The 14,000-nt window shown below is 34.4% G+C and overlaps 2 annotated features.

Annotated features, from left to right (window-relative positions):
• Positions 6,531-10,356: an enhancer, noted in NCBI's record as "VISTA enhancer hs1991". NCBI's record gives its function as "enhancer in: limb[7/7]" and the evidence as "EXISTENCE:transgenic organism evidence [ECO:0001131][PMID:17130149]".
• Positions 7,867-8,161: a silencer, noted in NCBI's record as "tiled region #6622; HepG2 Repressive non-DNase unmatched - State 24:Quies". NCBI's record gives its function as "represses a minimal TATA promoter and a strong SV40 promoter by Sharpr-MPRA in HepG2 cells {active_cell/tissue: HepG2}" and the evidence as "EXISTENCE:reporter gene assay evidence [ECO:0000049][PMID:27701403]".

Raw genomic sequence — 14,000 nt, forward strand, 5'->3', positions numbered from 1 at the left:
GTTTTCTCCACATCTTTTCATCACAGGGCAGCTCATTTCTTTAACCATTAAGTGATATTTCATTGTCTGGATCTACCACAGTATACTTATCCATTTACATACTGAAAGATATGTTAGTTACTTCCAAGATTTGGCAATTATGAATACAGCTGCTATAAGAAATTGAATATAGGCTTTTGTGTGTACCCAGTTTTCAGCTCTTTTAGCTAACTAACAAGGAGCACAATGGCTGGATCCTATGCTAAGAATATGTTTAGTTTAGTAAGAAACTGCCAAATTGCCTTCCAAATTCACTCTACCATTTTGCATTCCCACCAAAAATGAACGAAAGTTTCTGTTGCTCTATATTCTCTCCAGCATTTGGCATTGTCAGTGCTCTGGATTTTGGCCATTCTAATGAGCGTGCAGTTGTATCTCATTGTTGTTTTAATTTACACTTCCCTGATAACATATATTGGGGAGGATCTTTGCATACGTTCATTTGCCATCGGCCTGTCTTCTTTGATAAGAGTTTTCAGCAATTTTTAAATTGGGTTTTGTGTTTTCTTATTGAATTTTGACAGATTTTTGTATGTTTTGGATAGCTCCTTTACTAGACATATCTTTCTCAAATATTTTCTCCCATTCTGTGGCTTGCCTGTTTATTCTTTTGATAGTATCTTTCTCAGAGAATAAAACTTTATTTTTAATTAAGTTTAGCTATCATTTTTTTTCTTTCAGTCATTTTGCCTTTGGTGTTGTATTTAAAAAGCAGTTGTCAAGCCCAATGTCATCTATGTTTTCTGACATGTCATATTCTAGTCGTTTTATAGTTTTGCATTTCAGTATACAACACATTTTGCATTAGTTTTTGTGAAGGGTGTAGAGTCTGTGTCTAGCTGTTGTTCCTCCATCACGATGGCCCTACCTTCATGACAAGATCAACTTCCCAAAGCCCTAGCTCCTAACACCATCACTTTAGGGGTAAGGATATAATTATATACATTTTGTCGGGGGCACAAACAGCTTAAAGCCCTCCTATTTAGAAAGGCAGTTGACTTTCATATGTTAACCACATATCCTACAACCTTACTACAATCACTTCTTAATTGTATTAATATTTTTGTCAACTATTTCAGATTTTCTATATAGAAATGTCTTCTGTGAACAAAGAAAGTTTCTTTTTTCTTAAAAATATGTACAATTTTTAATTTTTCTTTTATTGTCTTATTGCATTATTTAGGCTTTGAGTACAGTTTTGTAAAGCAGTAGTGATTTGTTGTACTGGATGTGGTAGTGCACACCTGTTATCCCAGCTCCTCTGCTGGGGGCTTCTCCATGGGAGGATAGCTTGAGCCCAGAAGTTTAAAGATCAGCCTAAGAAACATAGTGAGACTCTTCTCAAAACAAACACCGAGGCAGTGGTGAGAGGGAATATCTTTGCCATGTTTCTGATCTTGGTGGGAAAGTTTTGGGTTTCCCACTGTTGAGTATGATGATAGCTGTAAATTAGTATAGACATTCTTTATAAAGTTGAGGAAGTTCTCCTCTATTCCCAGTTTACTTATGGTTTTTATAATGAAAGGGTGTTAGATTTTGTCAAATAGTTTTTCTACATCTATTTATATGATCATATGATTGTCTTCAATTCCTGTTGATATGATGGATTATATTAATTGATTTTTTAATGTTGAACCACCCTTGCAAACTTAGGATAAATTCCACTGGTTGTAGTACATAATTATTTTCAAATATTGCTTGATTTGATTTGCTACTATTTTCTTGGGACTTTTGCATGAATATTCATGAGAAATTATTTTACAGTTTTGGTACTTTGTCTGGTTTTGGTGTTAGGATAATGCTTACATCATATAAATAGTTACAAAGGATTCTTTCCACTTCTATCTTCTGAAAGTGATTGCAGAAAATTGGTGCATGTTGTTTGGTAGAAATAATTAGCAAACCCATCTCAGCTTAGATTCTTTTGTTTTAAAAGGTTATTAATACTGATTCAATTTCTTTAATATATATAGGCTTTTTCACTGTCTATTTTTACTTTTGTGAGATTTGGAAAATTATGTCTTTTAATGAATTGGCCTATTTCATCTAATTTGTCAAATTAGTGGACATAGGTTTGTTCATAATATTACTTTATTGTCCTTTTAATATCTATGGGATCTGTAGTGATATCTCCTCTTTTATTTCTTACACCAGAAATTTGTGTCCTCTCTTTTTTTCTTAGCCTGCCTTGAGACTTTTCAACTTCATTGATATTGTTGAAGATCCAATTTTTAGTTTTGTTGATTTTCTATATTGTTTCTCTTTTACATTTTATTGATTTCTGTCATAATCTTTATTATACCTTTTTCTCTGCCTACTTTTGATTTAACTTGTTCTTCCTTTTCAAGTTGTCCAATAAAGAAACATAGATTATTGATCTTTTGTTTTACAAATATATGCATTCCCTGTTATGCTTTTCTCTTAAGCACTGATTTTTCTGCTTCTCACATTTTTGTAGGTGATATTTTAATTTTTGTGTAAAGAAAAAATTTGAAAAAACATTTCTCTGGAAATTTCTTCTTTAACCTCTGTGTTACTTGGAATGATTCGATATTAAGATGCCAATTCTTTTATAATTTATCTATAGATACATTACAATTCCCATAAAAAATTTTAGCATTATACTCTGTGGATATCATCAAACTGATTCTAATGTTTATATGGAGAAATAGAAGACCTAAAATACCCATCATGAGGCTGGGCGCAGTGGCTCATGCCTGTAATCGCAGAACTTTGGGAGGCCGAGGCAGGGGGATCACCTGAGGTCAGGAGTTTGAGACCAGCCTGACCAACACGGAGAAACCCCGTCTCTACCAAAAATACAAAATTAGGCGGGCGTGGTGGCGCATGCCTATAATCCCAGCTACTTAGGAGACTGAAGCAGGAGAATCACTTGAACCCAGGAGGCAGAGGTTGCAGTAAGTCGAGATCGTGCCATTGCACTCCAGCCTGGACAACAAAAGCAAAACTCCATTAAAAAAAAAAAATACCCATCATGACAGCGAAAGAGAAGAACAAATTTGAAGGGTTTATACTACCTGACTTCAGGACTTACTATAAAGCTACAGAATCAAGACAATCTGATATTGGCAAAAGAACAGACAAACAGATAAGTAAAACTGAATTGAAATCCTAATAAAAGACCCAAACAAATGTAATCAGCTGGTATTTGACAAAAGTACAAAGGGTATTCAACAGAAAAATATATAACATTTTTAATAAACGGTACTACAGCAATTGGATGACTGTGTGTAAAAAGAAGAAAATAAAATACCCTAGACCTAGATCTTACAAGTTTCACAAAAATTAAATTGAGAAATAAAAATAAAATCCTAAGCACCACAATCAACTGAACAGACCCCTCCGCCCCCCCCCCACTTGTCCAAAGGGACTTCAGAGAAACCTTGAAAACTGAATTATCAGCCATGACAGTTTGCGGGGATCAGATACACCTGGTTATACCCTCCGCCCTCACTAATCACCATTAGACATTCGTCCCTAAGGGCTAAACTGAAACCAGCCCTTTTGAAAGACTCCACTGCTGATATCAACAAACTGTCTGGTGCTGCCCTGCCCTTTTGTGATTTCAGCACAACCACTGACCAGCATTTCTTCCAGATAAGAGACCACCAACCATGCAGTGGTTCTGGCCCAGTCTAAATAGAATGTGCAGTAAAGCATATACATCCTCTACTTCACCTTTTGACATTAGATGGCTAAAAGTTCCACCCTTGGATCATACTAATGCTGCCATTTTTTGTACCTGAGACCCTTGAAGGAGCATGGTACATGTGAATATTTTTCATTTAATAAATATTCATGACACATCCTACAGCTTATTAAATATGTGTATTCTCCCTCCCTGCTCAGAATAAATTCTTGTTCACTTTTCCCTTCCCTAGAAGTGTCTGTTGCTGTCTTCTGGCTGGAGACTACGCTTCCCAGCCTGTCAGAACAGCCACTCTGAAGGCCGCATCCCTTTATGAGAAATAAAGCTCTACTTTCCAAATGTATAAACCTTGTCATTCTTCAATTGACAAATTTAAATGAATCACAGGTATAAATGTAAATAAGATACTATGAAACTTCTAGAAGAAGATGCGAGAGAGAATCTATGTGTTCTGGGCTTTGGTGATAAGAATTTAGATGTAATACCTAAAGCATGACCCATAAAAAGAAAAAGTGGTCAGTTTTATGTTCTTATAATTTAAAAACATCTGCTCTGCAAAAGACACTACTTAAAGATTGAAAAGACAAGCCAGAAGCTCAGAGAGAATATTTGTAAGCCATGTACCTAATCAAATAATTTGTATCCAAAATATACACTGAACAACAAGAAAACTTATATATAAAATAGGCAATAGATCTGAAAAGACAAGCATATGAAAAAATGCTCAAAATAATTTGTCTTCAAGAATTGCAAATTGAAACCATAATATGAAATTCCTCTACACACCTATTAAAATGGCTAAAATCCAAAAAGCTGACTATACTAAATGCTGACGAAGATGTGGATTGACAGGAACTCTTATTCATTGCTGGTGGAAATGCAAAATAGTACGCCCACTTTAGAAGACAGTTTGGCAGTTTCTCACATATTTAAACATAATATTACCATACATCCCAGCAACTGTGCTCCAAGGCAGTTCTCCAGTTACTTTGAAAAGTTATATCCACACAAAACCTACACACAAATACTTATAATGTCTTATTCAAAATTGGCAAAAAGTAAAAGCAATCAAGATGGTATCTAATAGGTGAATGAATTTAAAAACCTGTGATACATCCACACGATGGAATATTACTCAGTGATAAAAAGGAATAACCTATTAAGGAACAAAAATACATAAGGGAACTTAAATGAATATGGCTGAATAAAAAAGCCTGTATAAAAAGATCAACATACTATGTGATTCCAATTGTATATGTCCCAGGAAAGGCAAAGCTATAGAGGAAGTAAAGTAATCAATGGTTGCTAGTGGTTCAGTCTGGGGTAAGGGATAAATAGGTAAAGTACAGAGAACTATTCTATATGATACTACAATTGTGGATACATGACAATATGCATTTGTCAATAAGAACTATACAATACAAGCAGTGAAATTAAATGTGTGCAAATTTACTTTAAAATAAAAAATAAAAGGTCAAGGAATTTTAGAAAGAAATGCAACATCTGAGGGAAGTAAGTACGGGGAATTGGTGATCAAAACAACTTTTGAAGTGAGTGGAGTCTGTAAGACTAAAGACCAAAGAATGTGCAAATAAGCACTGTACTCTAGCTGATAAAGTTGTATTCCATTAGAGTATGTATTAGGGTTCTCCAGAGGAAGAAACCAGTAGGATATGTGTAGAGAGATATATTAGGGAAGATTTATTATAGAAATTGTGTTAACAATTCTGATACTGCTATACATGTTTACTGAATTTGAACAATTAAGTAAATAAATGAATAAATGGCAGATTATGGGGCTAGGTTTCTTATTGTTAAAATTGGGATTTACAGGCTGGGTGCAGTGGCTCACGTCTGTAATCCCAGCACTTTGGGAGGCCAAGGCGGGTGGATCATGAGGTCAGCAGTTTAAGATCAGCCTCACCATCATAGTGAAATCCCGTCTTTACCAAAAATACAAAAATTAGCTGAGCATGGTGGCGTGCGCCTGTAATCCCAGCTGCTGGGGAGGCTGAGGCAGGAGAATCGCTAGAACCCAGGAGGCAGAGGTGGCAGTGGGCTGAGATCGTGCCATGGCACTCCAGCTTGGCTGACAGAGCAAGACTCTGTCTCAAAAATAAATAATTTTTTTCTAAAAAACTGGGATTTACACATAAACAAGGTGAGAAGACTAGAATGATCTATCTGATAATATATTATAGTTAGAGGAACCAGTATTAATTCATGTTTTACTTAATATAGATACAGATGGCTTTATAGGGAGATATTTATAAACTTGTGCATACACGTGAGGTGCTCTGTCAACTGACAGGGCTAAAATAAACGACATCCTAGTAGCAAAGAGCCCATCAGGTCTTACTTTCTAATGTTATTTTCCAATAATAAATACCATGTCTCCTTGAAGAAATGGCTGATTCTAGGGTTGGAGGAAAAAAAAAGAGAGAGAGAGAAAAAAAAGCCTAGAACATTATATAGTGTCAGAAATTACTCAGTAAAACTGCTATTCATGGGGTATGTTATTTTTTTTCCATACATTTGCTTACATTGAACCAGGCACTGTGCTAGGTTCTTGTAACAATTTTCTCTTTTAATCTATAAAATCAGCAATTGTCAGGCATGCAAATTAAATAGTTCAGCTTGCTTATTATAAGGTAAAATAAGGTATAATTATAGGTTATAAAATAAAATCATAGCTCAAGTAAGTTATAGAACTAGAAATCAAACAAAGGTCTGTTTAACTCCTAAGTTTACTTTCTTTCCAACTAAATCTGGAGATTTCTACATTAGAAATAACCCACTCACAATTATTTAGATATATCTATGATATCAGCAAGAACAAGGAACATGTATACACTCAAGGAGCGTACTTTTTAAGTTATTAAAATTAATCTTTTTGAGTTAAAGTCCTATTATTATTTTTGAGGCAGGTTCCATCTATGTAGTAAACCAAGATGGACTGACTTTTAGAAAATTCATCATATGATGAATAGTCATGGCATTAAAGTAGAGAACGAATAACTGCCAGGTCATTATAAGGAAGTATAATACGCATTGAAAAAATCAGATTTACTCATCCTGAGAGGCATATTGTCCTCATTCCTACCTAGGATTTAATGCTAAAGACATCAGTGACAAGTAATAGAAGCCAAGGTCTATGTCCATCTATGGCTTCTCGTAGACAATCAAGCAATTTTATTTACAAATGGACAGTTGCTCATGAAAATTAATGATAATTACAAAATAAATCATTATTATAGCATGCAAAACTCCTACAGTCTTCAAATAATATCTAATATGTTGCCAACTGTTACTTGATGATAATTTTCGAAATATGGGAAAATAGTTTCACATAAGTATCTTTTAAAATATTTTAGACACTATAACATTTACTTATTCCCATATTTCTTAAATATAGTGAACTGGGAATGGTGACTACAGACTCATGGATCTCTATCTTCTACACAATTGATACATCAATGGAGACAGCTGTTTCTCTCTGGATTAATGACACCTATACAATTTTAACTGCATTTATGAATAGTGGTAAGCATTGGTGATAGAGGCTAAACCAAACTTCAAGATCAGTGTTTCATGCATAGTCACTTGAGTATTATAGATATTGCTATTCAATGGCAGCCTTCGTATTTCCACTTAAAAAAATTATCTTCTTGGTAATAATTGTAGAGAAAGTATCTATCAATATTGAATTACTCTACCTTGAAACAGGATTTAGCTATGTTCAGTTGAGTTGCATTTTATAGAGTGTAAAGTAAGGATTAATTAGTATGAAACTCTTATTAGACAATCACAATTCCACAATGGAGCTCGGAGGTTCTCTGGCCATGCTGGCCTCAGTGATATAATATAATATGAGACTATCAGATTTTTATAAAATTATTACTTTGTATTCAGAGATTATTGAAAAATATATGCATGGTGATATGTCATATGATAATTATTTTCTTCATTTTCTATAGGGTAGAGAATGAAAACATTATCAAGACAGGTCTAAATAATGCTAAGTGCAATATTCATATTGAGGGAATGTTTGCAATTTGAATTTACTCACTGTCATCATCACTTTTTCAAATAATTTTTAAGACTTTTTTCCTATGTGTGCAGAATCTTCTTCAGACTGCTGCTTTTCTATATGAGCATTTTTCTTTTCCATAAATTTCAAACTAGAATTTCATGTATATTTTCTTAGTTGTTTAAAGGAAATTGTCTTTGGCCAGCAATCATAATGCTTGGAATGTTTCCAGGTGTCTGCACTAATTTTAACTGTTCTGCTACACAATGTAGATTGTTTGAGTGTCAGGCTATTGTTGGGATAGTTCAGATATAAAGTAACCATTTTTTAAAACATAAGCCTTTGTGATATTTTGTTTTTCATTGTTTACAATCTCTAATACATCATTATAGTAGTTTCTTACATTAAAAAAAGAAAACCACACACAAAAACTTATAGACTAATATTTCTCATCAAGGTTCTCTTTTTAATGAATATTATGTTTTTATAAGGTATATTTTGTTGTTCTAAAAACGTTTGAAATTTGATGAGTGAGAAAGAGCTCTCACGTTCATCCATAAAAAAGGTAGATGACCTATAATTTCTTCCATAGTGACTTAAGCAAACTAGGTCTAAAAGCTAGAGTGAAACATAAGTTTAATCCCTTATAAATCTTCTATTTACAAAGTAAACAAACAGAAAAAACTTTAAGAAATCTTTTAATTCCAGGAAGAATGCTTTTTTTTTTCTATTGATACCTATGTCTTCTTTACTTTGTACTTATATTAAGTTCATTAATCCACTTATACAAACAGTCTAATAGCTATTCTTTGCTATAATTTTTGTGTTAAATATCCAGGTCAAATTACAAAAAGCAAAGCTCTTGGAGAGAAAAATCTGTGTATGAAGTTAGTAAGTAATCCGACCTTATGAAAACAGCAAGGGCCTCACAATGCTCCTTCACCCATAATTTATTTTCAGCCCTTCAGTTCTTTTGTTCCTTTTCTTGCTTTATTAAACTACTAAGTTGTAAGAAACCTTAGAGGAAGTAACTATGCATTATTCAAAAGTGCAACCTCCACATGATCCATGAGAGTTTCTTAGTCCCAAAGAAAATATAGGCATTTCCTATTAAAAAAATAAAATTAGCAAAATGTATTTTTAAAAAATCCATCTTTATTCACCTATGGAACCAGATAATGAAGAAAAACTACAAATAGGAAACATTCAATTTTATATATAAAATTTTAAGGACTCAGGCAAGATTGTCATTATAATTTCAGACAGAGGAAGTTTTGGTAAATATAAGAACACGAGAAGTTAAACTGGATACAAGAACCTAATGCCTCTTAATCAAAATAAATCTTAAAAACATTTATACCACCTACATTGCATTATAAGAGGTTTTCTATTAATAGTTATCCTCTTTTACAGTTCAAGTATATATTAAGGGCAAAACAGGTCAATATATGAAAGAAATATTTAAAAGAATCAGGTCATCAAAAACATTACGCTATCAAGGTTTCCAGTTTCTTTAAAAAACAACCAGAAAGTAACATATTATAAATCAAAAACTAATTATAAAAAGAAAATTACAAAATATAACAGTAAATCTAATTGTGATTTATTTGGCATTTTTACTTTGATTCAGATAAAAGTTTCTTTTGTAGTTCTGATTAAGCATCACAAGATTAATGGCACACTTGGATAAGTACTTGAAAGTTCTTTCAAGCTGGTGCTTTTGGAAACCTGACTTTAGAGGCTCACTCATAAATTGCCCAGAACTGATCATAGTTACATAAACACTTAATAAATGCAATAAATGCAGACTTAAAGAATTTTCTCTCTTCTCTGGTCCCTTTTTTGTTCTCCCTCTCTACTAAACTTCCTTGGTGATCTCATCCTTCAGAGAGTTTGTTTCTACTGCTGTCTGGCAGCTACAATACTATGCCCAACTTCACATCCTTAAAATAATAATTACTCACTGCATTTCCCTTTTATTTACCTAGTTCCTAATACATTTTCATATTAGGCTTTGCTATTGAGATCTATTGGGTACTCTACAGTGTAGTTTTCAAATCAATTTCTGCCCCAATTCTCAAGCAAATTGTTATCCAATCATTTGTTGGTAAATAATTCTATTTTGAGACCTAGAGATCTTGGATCCAGAATTCTGATTTAGGTAATAGAATTATACTTGAGCAAAGAATCATCTCTGGATTTCACCAGAAAGCTGCATGTGGAAAGGGAAAAGATACAAAATATGTCACCCTTTCACCACTTATTTTTAATAATGCGGATCTGGTTTGAGCTATTCAAGCACATGGCATCATTTTCTGAAAAAGGACGATGTAGAATGTGGCAGGTGGAATCTCTTACTTGTAATTCCACTGGAGATATCCTAAGAGAGAAGTTGCAGACCATAGATGCTAAGTAGAAACATGAACAAAATTTGAAATAAAATGCAATCAGTTCATTTCTGTTCAATATAGTAACTCATGGAATAATTTACTCTGAGTGTCTCATAGAATTACCATAAAACAAACATGCTCTGCAAGGATTTCCATCTGAAGAAGTAAAAATAATAACATTATTCATTGTCATCATGTTTAAGATGAAACCCTTTTCAAACAAGAAAGAATAATATACATTGATTATTCATCCATTATGTTATGGGTTGAATGTGTCTTCTCAAATATACATATATATATTTTTTTCGGGTCCTAATTTCTAGTATCTCAAAATGCAACCTTATTTATGAATAATATCATTGCATATGTAATGAGTTAAAATGAGGTCATGCAGGAGCAGGGTGTGTGGTAATCTAATCTGACTGATGTCCTATAAGAAGGTGGCCACATGAAGACAGATACACAGAGAAAACTCCAGGTGATGATGAGGGCAGAGAGCAAAGTTGTTCAGTTGCAAGTTAAGAAATTCCAAAAATTTGCTGGGTGCTGTGGCTCATGCCTGTAATCCCAGCACTTTGGGAGGCCAAGGCTGGCAGATCATGAGGTCAGGAGATCGAGATCATCCTGGCTAACATCCTGAAACCTCATCTCTATTAAAAATAAAAAAATTAGCCAGGCGTGGTGGCATGAGCCTATGGGGGGAACCCACCCCCGATATTCAACATGAGTCCTTTTCTATTTTCCCCAGGTGTCGGCTGGTCTGAGAAATAAAGGGAAAAAGTACAAAGAGAGAAATTTTAAAGCTGGGTGGCCAGAGGAGACATCACATTTCGGCAGGTTCCATGATGCCCCCTGAGCCGTAAAACCAGCAACTTTTTATTAGTGGTTTTCAAAAGGGGAGGGAGTGTACGAATAGGGTGTGGGTCACAGAGATCACATGCTTCACTAGGTAATAAAATATCACAAGGAAAATGGAGGCAGGGTGAGATCACAGGACCACACGACTGGAATGAAATAATGAAGTCTCAGGCACACGTTGTCATTGATAGCATCTTATCAGGAGACAGGGTTTGAGAGCAGACAACTGGTCTGACCAAAATTTATTAGGCGGGAATTTCCTCGTCCTAATAAGCCTGGGAGACCGGGGCTTATTTCATCCCTTATCGACGACCATAAAAGACAGCCGTCCCCAAAGTGGCCATTTCAGAGGCCTTCCCTTAGGGACGCATTCTCTTTCTCAGGGCTGTTCCTTGCTGAGAAAAATAATTCTGCAATATTTCTCCTATTTGCTTTTGAAAGAAGAGAAATATGACTCTGATCCACCCAGCCAACAGGCAGCCAGACTTTAAGGTTATCTCCCTTGTTCCCTGAACATTGCTGTTATCCTGTTCTTAAGGTGCCCAGATTTCATACTGTTCAAACACACATGCTCTACAAACAATTTGTGCAGTTAATGCAATCATCACAGGGTCCTGAGGCGACATACATCCTCCTCAGCTTACAAAGATGACGGGATTAAGAGATTAAAGACAGGCATAGGAAATCACAAGAGTATTGATTGGGGAAGTGATAAATGTCCATGAAATCTTCACAATTTATGTTCAGAGATTGCAGTAAAGACAGGCATAAGAAATTATAAAAGTATTAATTTGGGGAACTAATAAATGTCCATGAAATCTTCACAATTTATGTTCTTCTGCCATGGCTTCAGCTGGTCCCTCTGTTTGGGGTCCCTGACTTCCTGCAACACAAGCCTGTAGTTCCGGCTACTCAGGAGGCTGAGGCAGGAGAATTGATTGAACCTGGAAGGCAGAGGTTGCAGTGAGCTGAGACTGCGCCACTGTACTCTAGCCTGGGCAACAGAGTGAGATTCAGTCTTAAAAAAAAAAAAAAAAAAAAAAAAAAAGGAAAAGGAAAAAGGAAAAAAGAAATTCTAAAAATTGCCAGCAACCACCAGCAGCTAAGAGACAAGGAAGAATTTTCCTAAAGATTGTAGAGGGAGCATGATGGTCCCGCTGCCAAGTTTACTTTGAACTCTGCCCTCCAGGACTATGAGACATTAAATTTCTATTGTTTTGAGCCACCTTGTTTATGGCATTTTGTTAGGGCAGCCCTAGGGACCTAACGTATTTCCCTTCTTGTATTTTAAAGCAAACATTGATTTAGAATTGACTATGTGCATACCATTGTACTAGCAGCAGGTAATGCTACAATAGTGGTTGCTTAGGGCAGGAAAAGCAATGGAAGTTGACTGCGAACGTGTGTGGGGTTTCTATTATGGGGAACAAAATGTTCTAAAATTAGATTGTGGTGATTGCATAATCGTGAGAATATACTAAAATTATTTAATTGCACCATATTAAGTGCAATATTAAGTGAGTGAATTGTATGGTATATGAATTGCATCTCAACGAAGCTGCTTTAAAAACAGTATAAAGAGACCCTCATTTTAAACAAATCACAATGAAGTTGAGGCCCATGATAATTAATTACAGCAATTTGTGGTTAACGGAAGCATGAAGCAGAATAAGTGAGGGAATCAGGTTGGAGAGTACCTCACCAGGATGGAGGTCGCTGGGCGGGAGATAGTGAGGAGTGGAAAAAACAGATAGGATTCTCAACAACGATGGTAACAGGGCTGTCTCTAAGGATAAATGAAAGCCAATCATGGAAGGAATGAGAGAACGGCAATCTTAGCAGAGGAGGACAAGCTAACAGAAAGAGATTTCTGTCCTGTGATCCTGAAGCAAGAAGAAACCAAATTAGTATCCACAGGTTACTCAACATTGAATCTTGATGAGTCTTTTGGAATGAAGGAGAAAGTAAAATAAGCCTACAGCAATCAGAAATATATATGTTCAAAAATAGTTGGCATTTTGGTATGTTTAATTTGATTTCAGAACATAAGGGCGCCTCTTACTAATCACAAATTTCCATATATTTATGTCTCTAAGCATATAAGATAGATAAACTTAGTGGGAAAATTATTCCTTTAAATATTATTTTAAATCTGTTATCATGTATAGGATTATATCAAATGTATCTGGATACACTATTTTTCTCAGAGTCCTCATGAGGCATGTAAGTGGCTATTTTCAAAGACATTCTCTAAGCACTTTTTGAAAAGATGAGTTATTGTTGTTTGTTTGGTGGGTTTGAATTGAACTTGAAAATTATGCCAACTGAAAACTGAGGTTTTGTTCTAAGCCAATAAGATAGTTCAGCTTAGAAGAGGACACTGAGATTTTGATCAGTGCTAGAGTTTTAATATAAATATCATGTATCTACATATGTTTGTGGGGTGTATAATTGTGGTATATGCTTATAATGGATTCATATTTTAGTGGAAATATAAGAATACAGATTTCAAAAAATCTTCTAAGTTAAACTTCCATTGTTTATTTAAAAATGCATATCAGAGACAGCATAGTGCAGAAATCAAGAACATAAATTTTGTAGTTAGGCAAATTTGATTTTGAAATTTTGTTCCACCTGTTTCTAGCTGTGAGCATTTAAGCAAGTCTCCTAGTCTTTCTCTGCATGTTTCTTTATTCATAAAATAGAGATATGAAAATAACTCCTCCTCATGTAGTTAAATAAGATAATGATGTAAAGTGCTTGCTAATCACAGTAAAATTTTGATTCAGGTGAACTAATAAAAAGCTTTTTAATATAATTTTCACTTATTTCATCTAATTTCCATTTAACAAAAAAAAGAGAAACATACATAGAATTATATGGTAAAACACAAAAAGCTACAGCAGAGATGAGATCTGACAGCTGAGTATATTCAACAAGAACACAAATATGAATCAAAAAGAAGATAGAATTAGTTTATGTATTAAAATAAACCAATGATTTTCTATCCAAT

This window comes from Homo sapiens, chromosome 13, assembly GCF_000001405.40.
Source record: "Homo sapiens chromosome 13, GRCh38.p14 Primary Assembly".
Classification (NCBI taxonomy): Eukaryota; Metazoa; Chordata; class Mammalia; order Primates; family Hominidae; genus Homo; species Homo sapiens.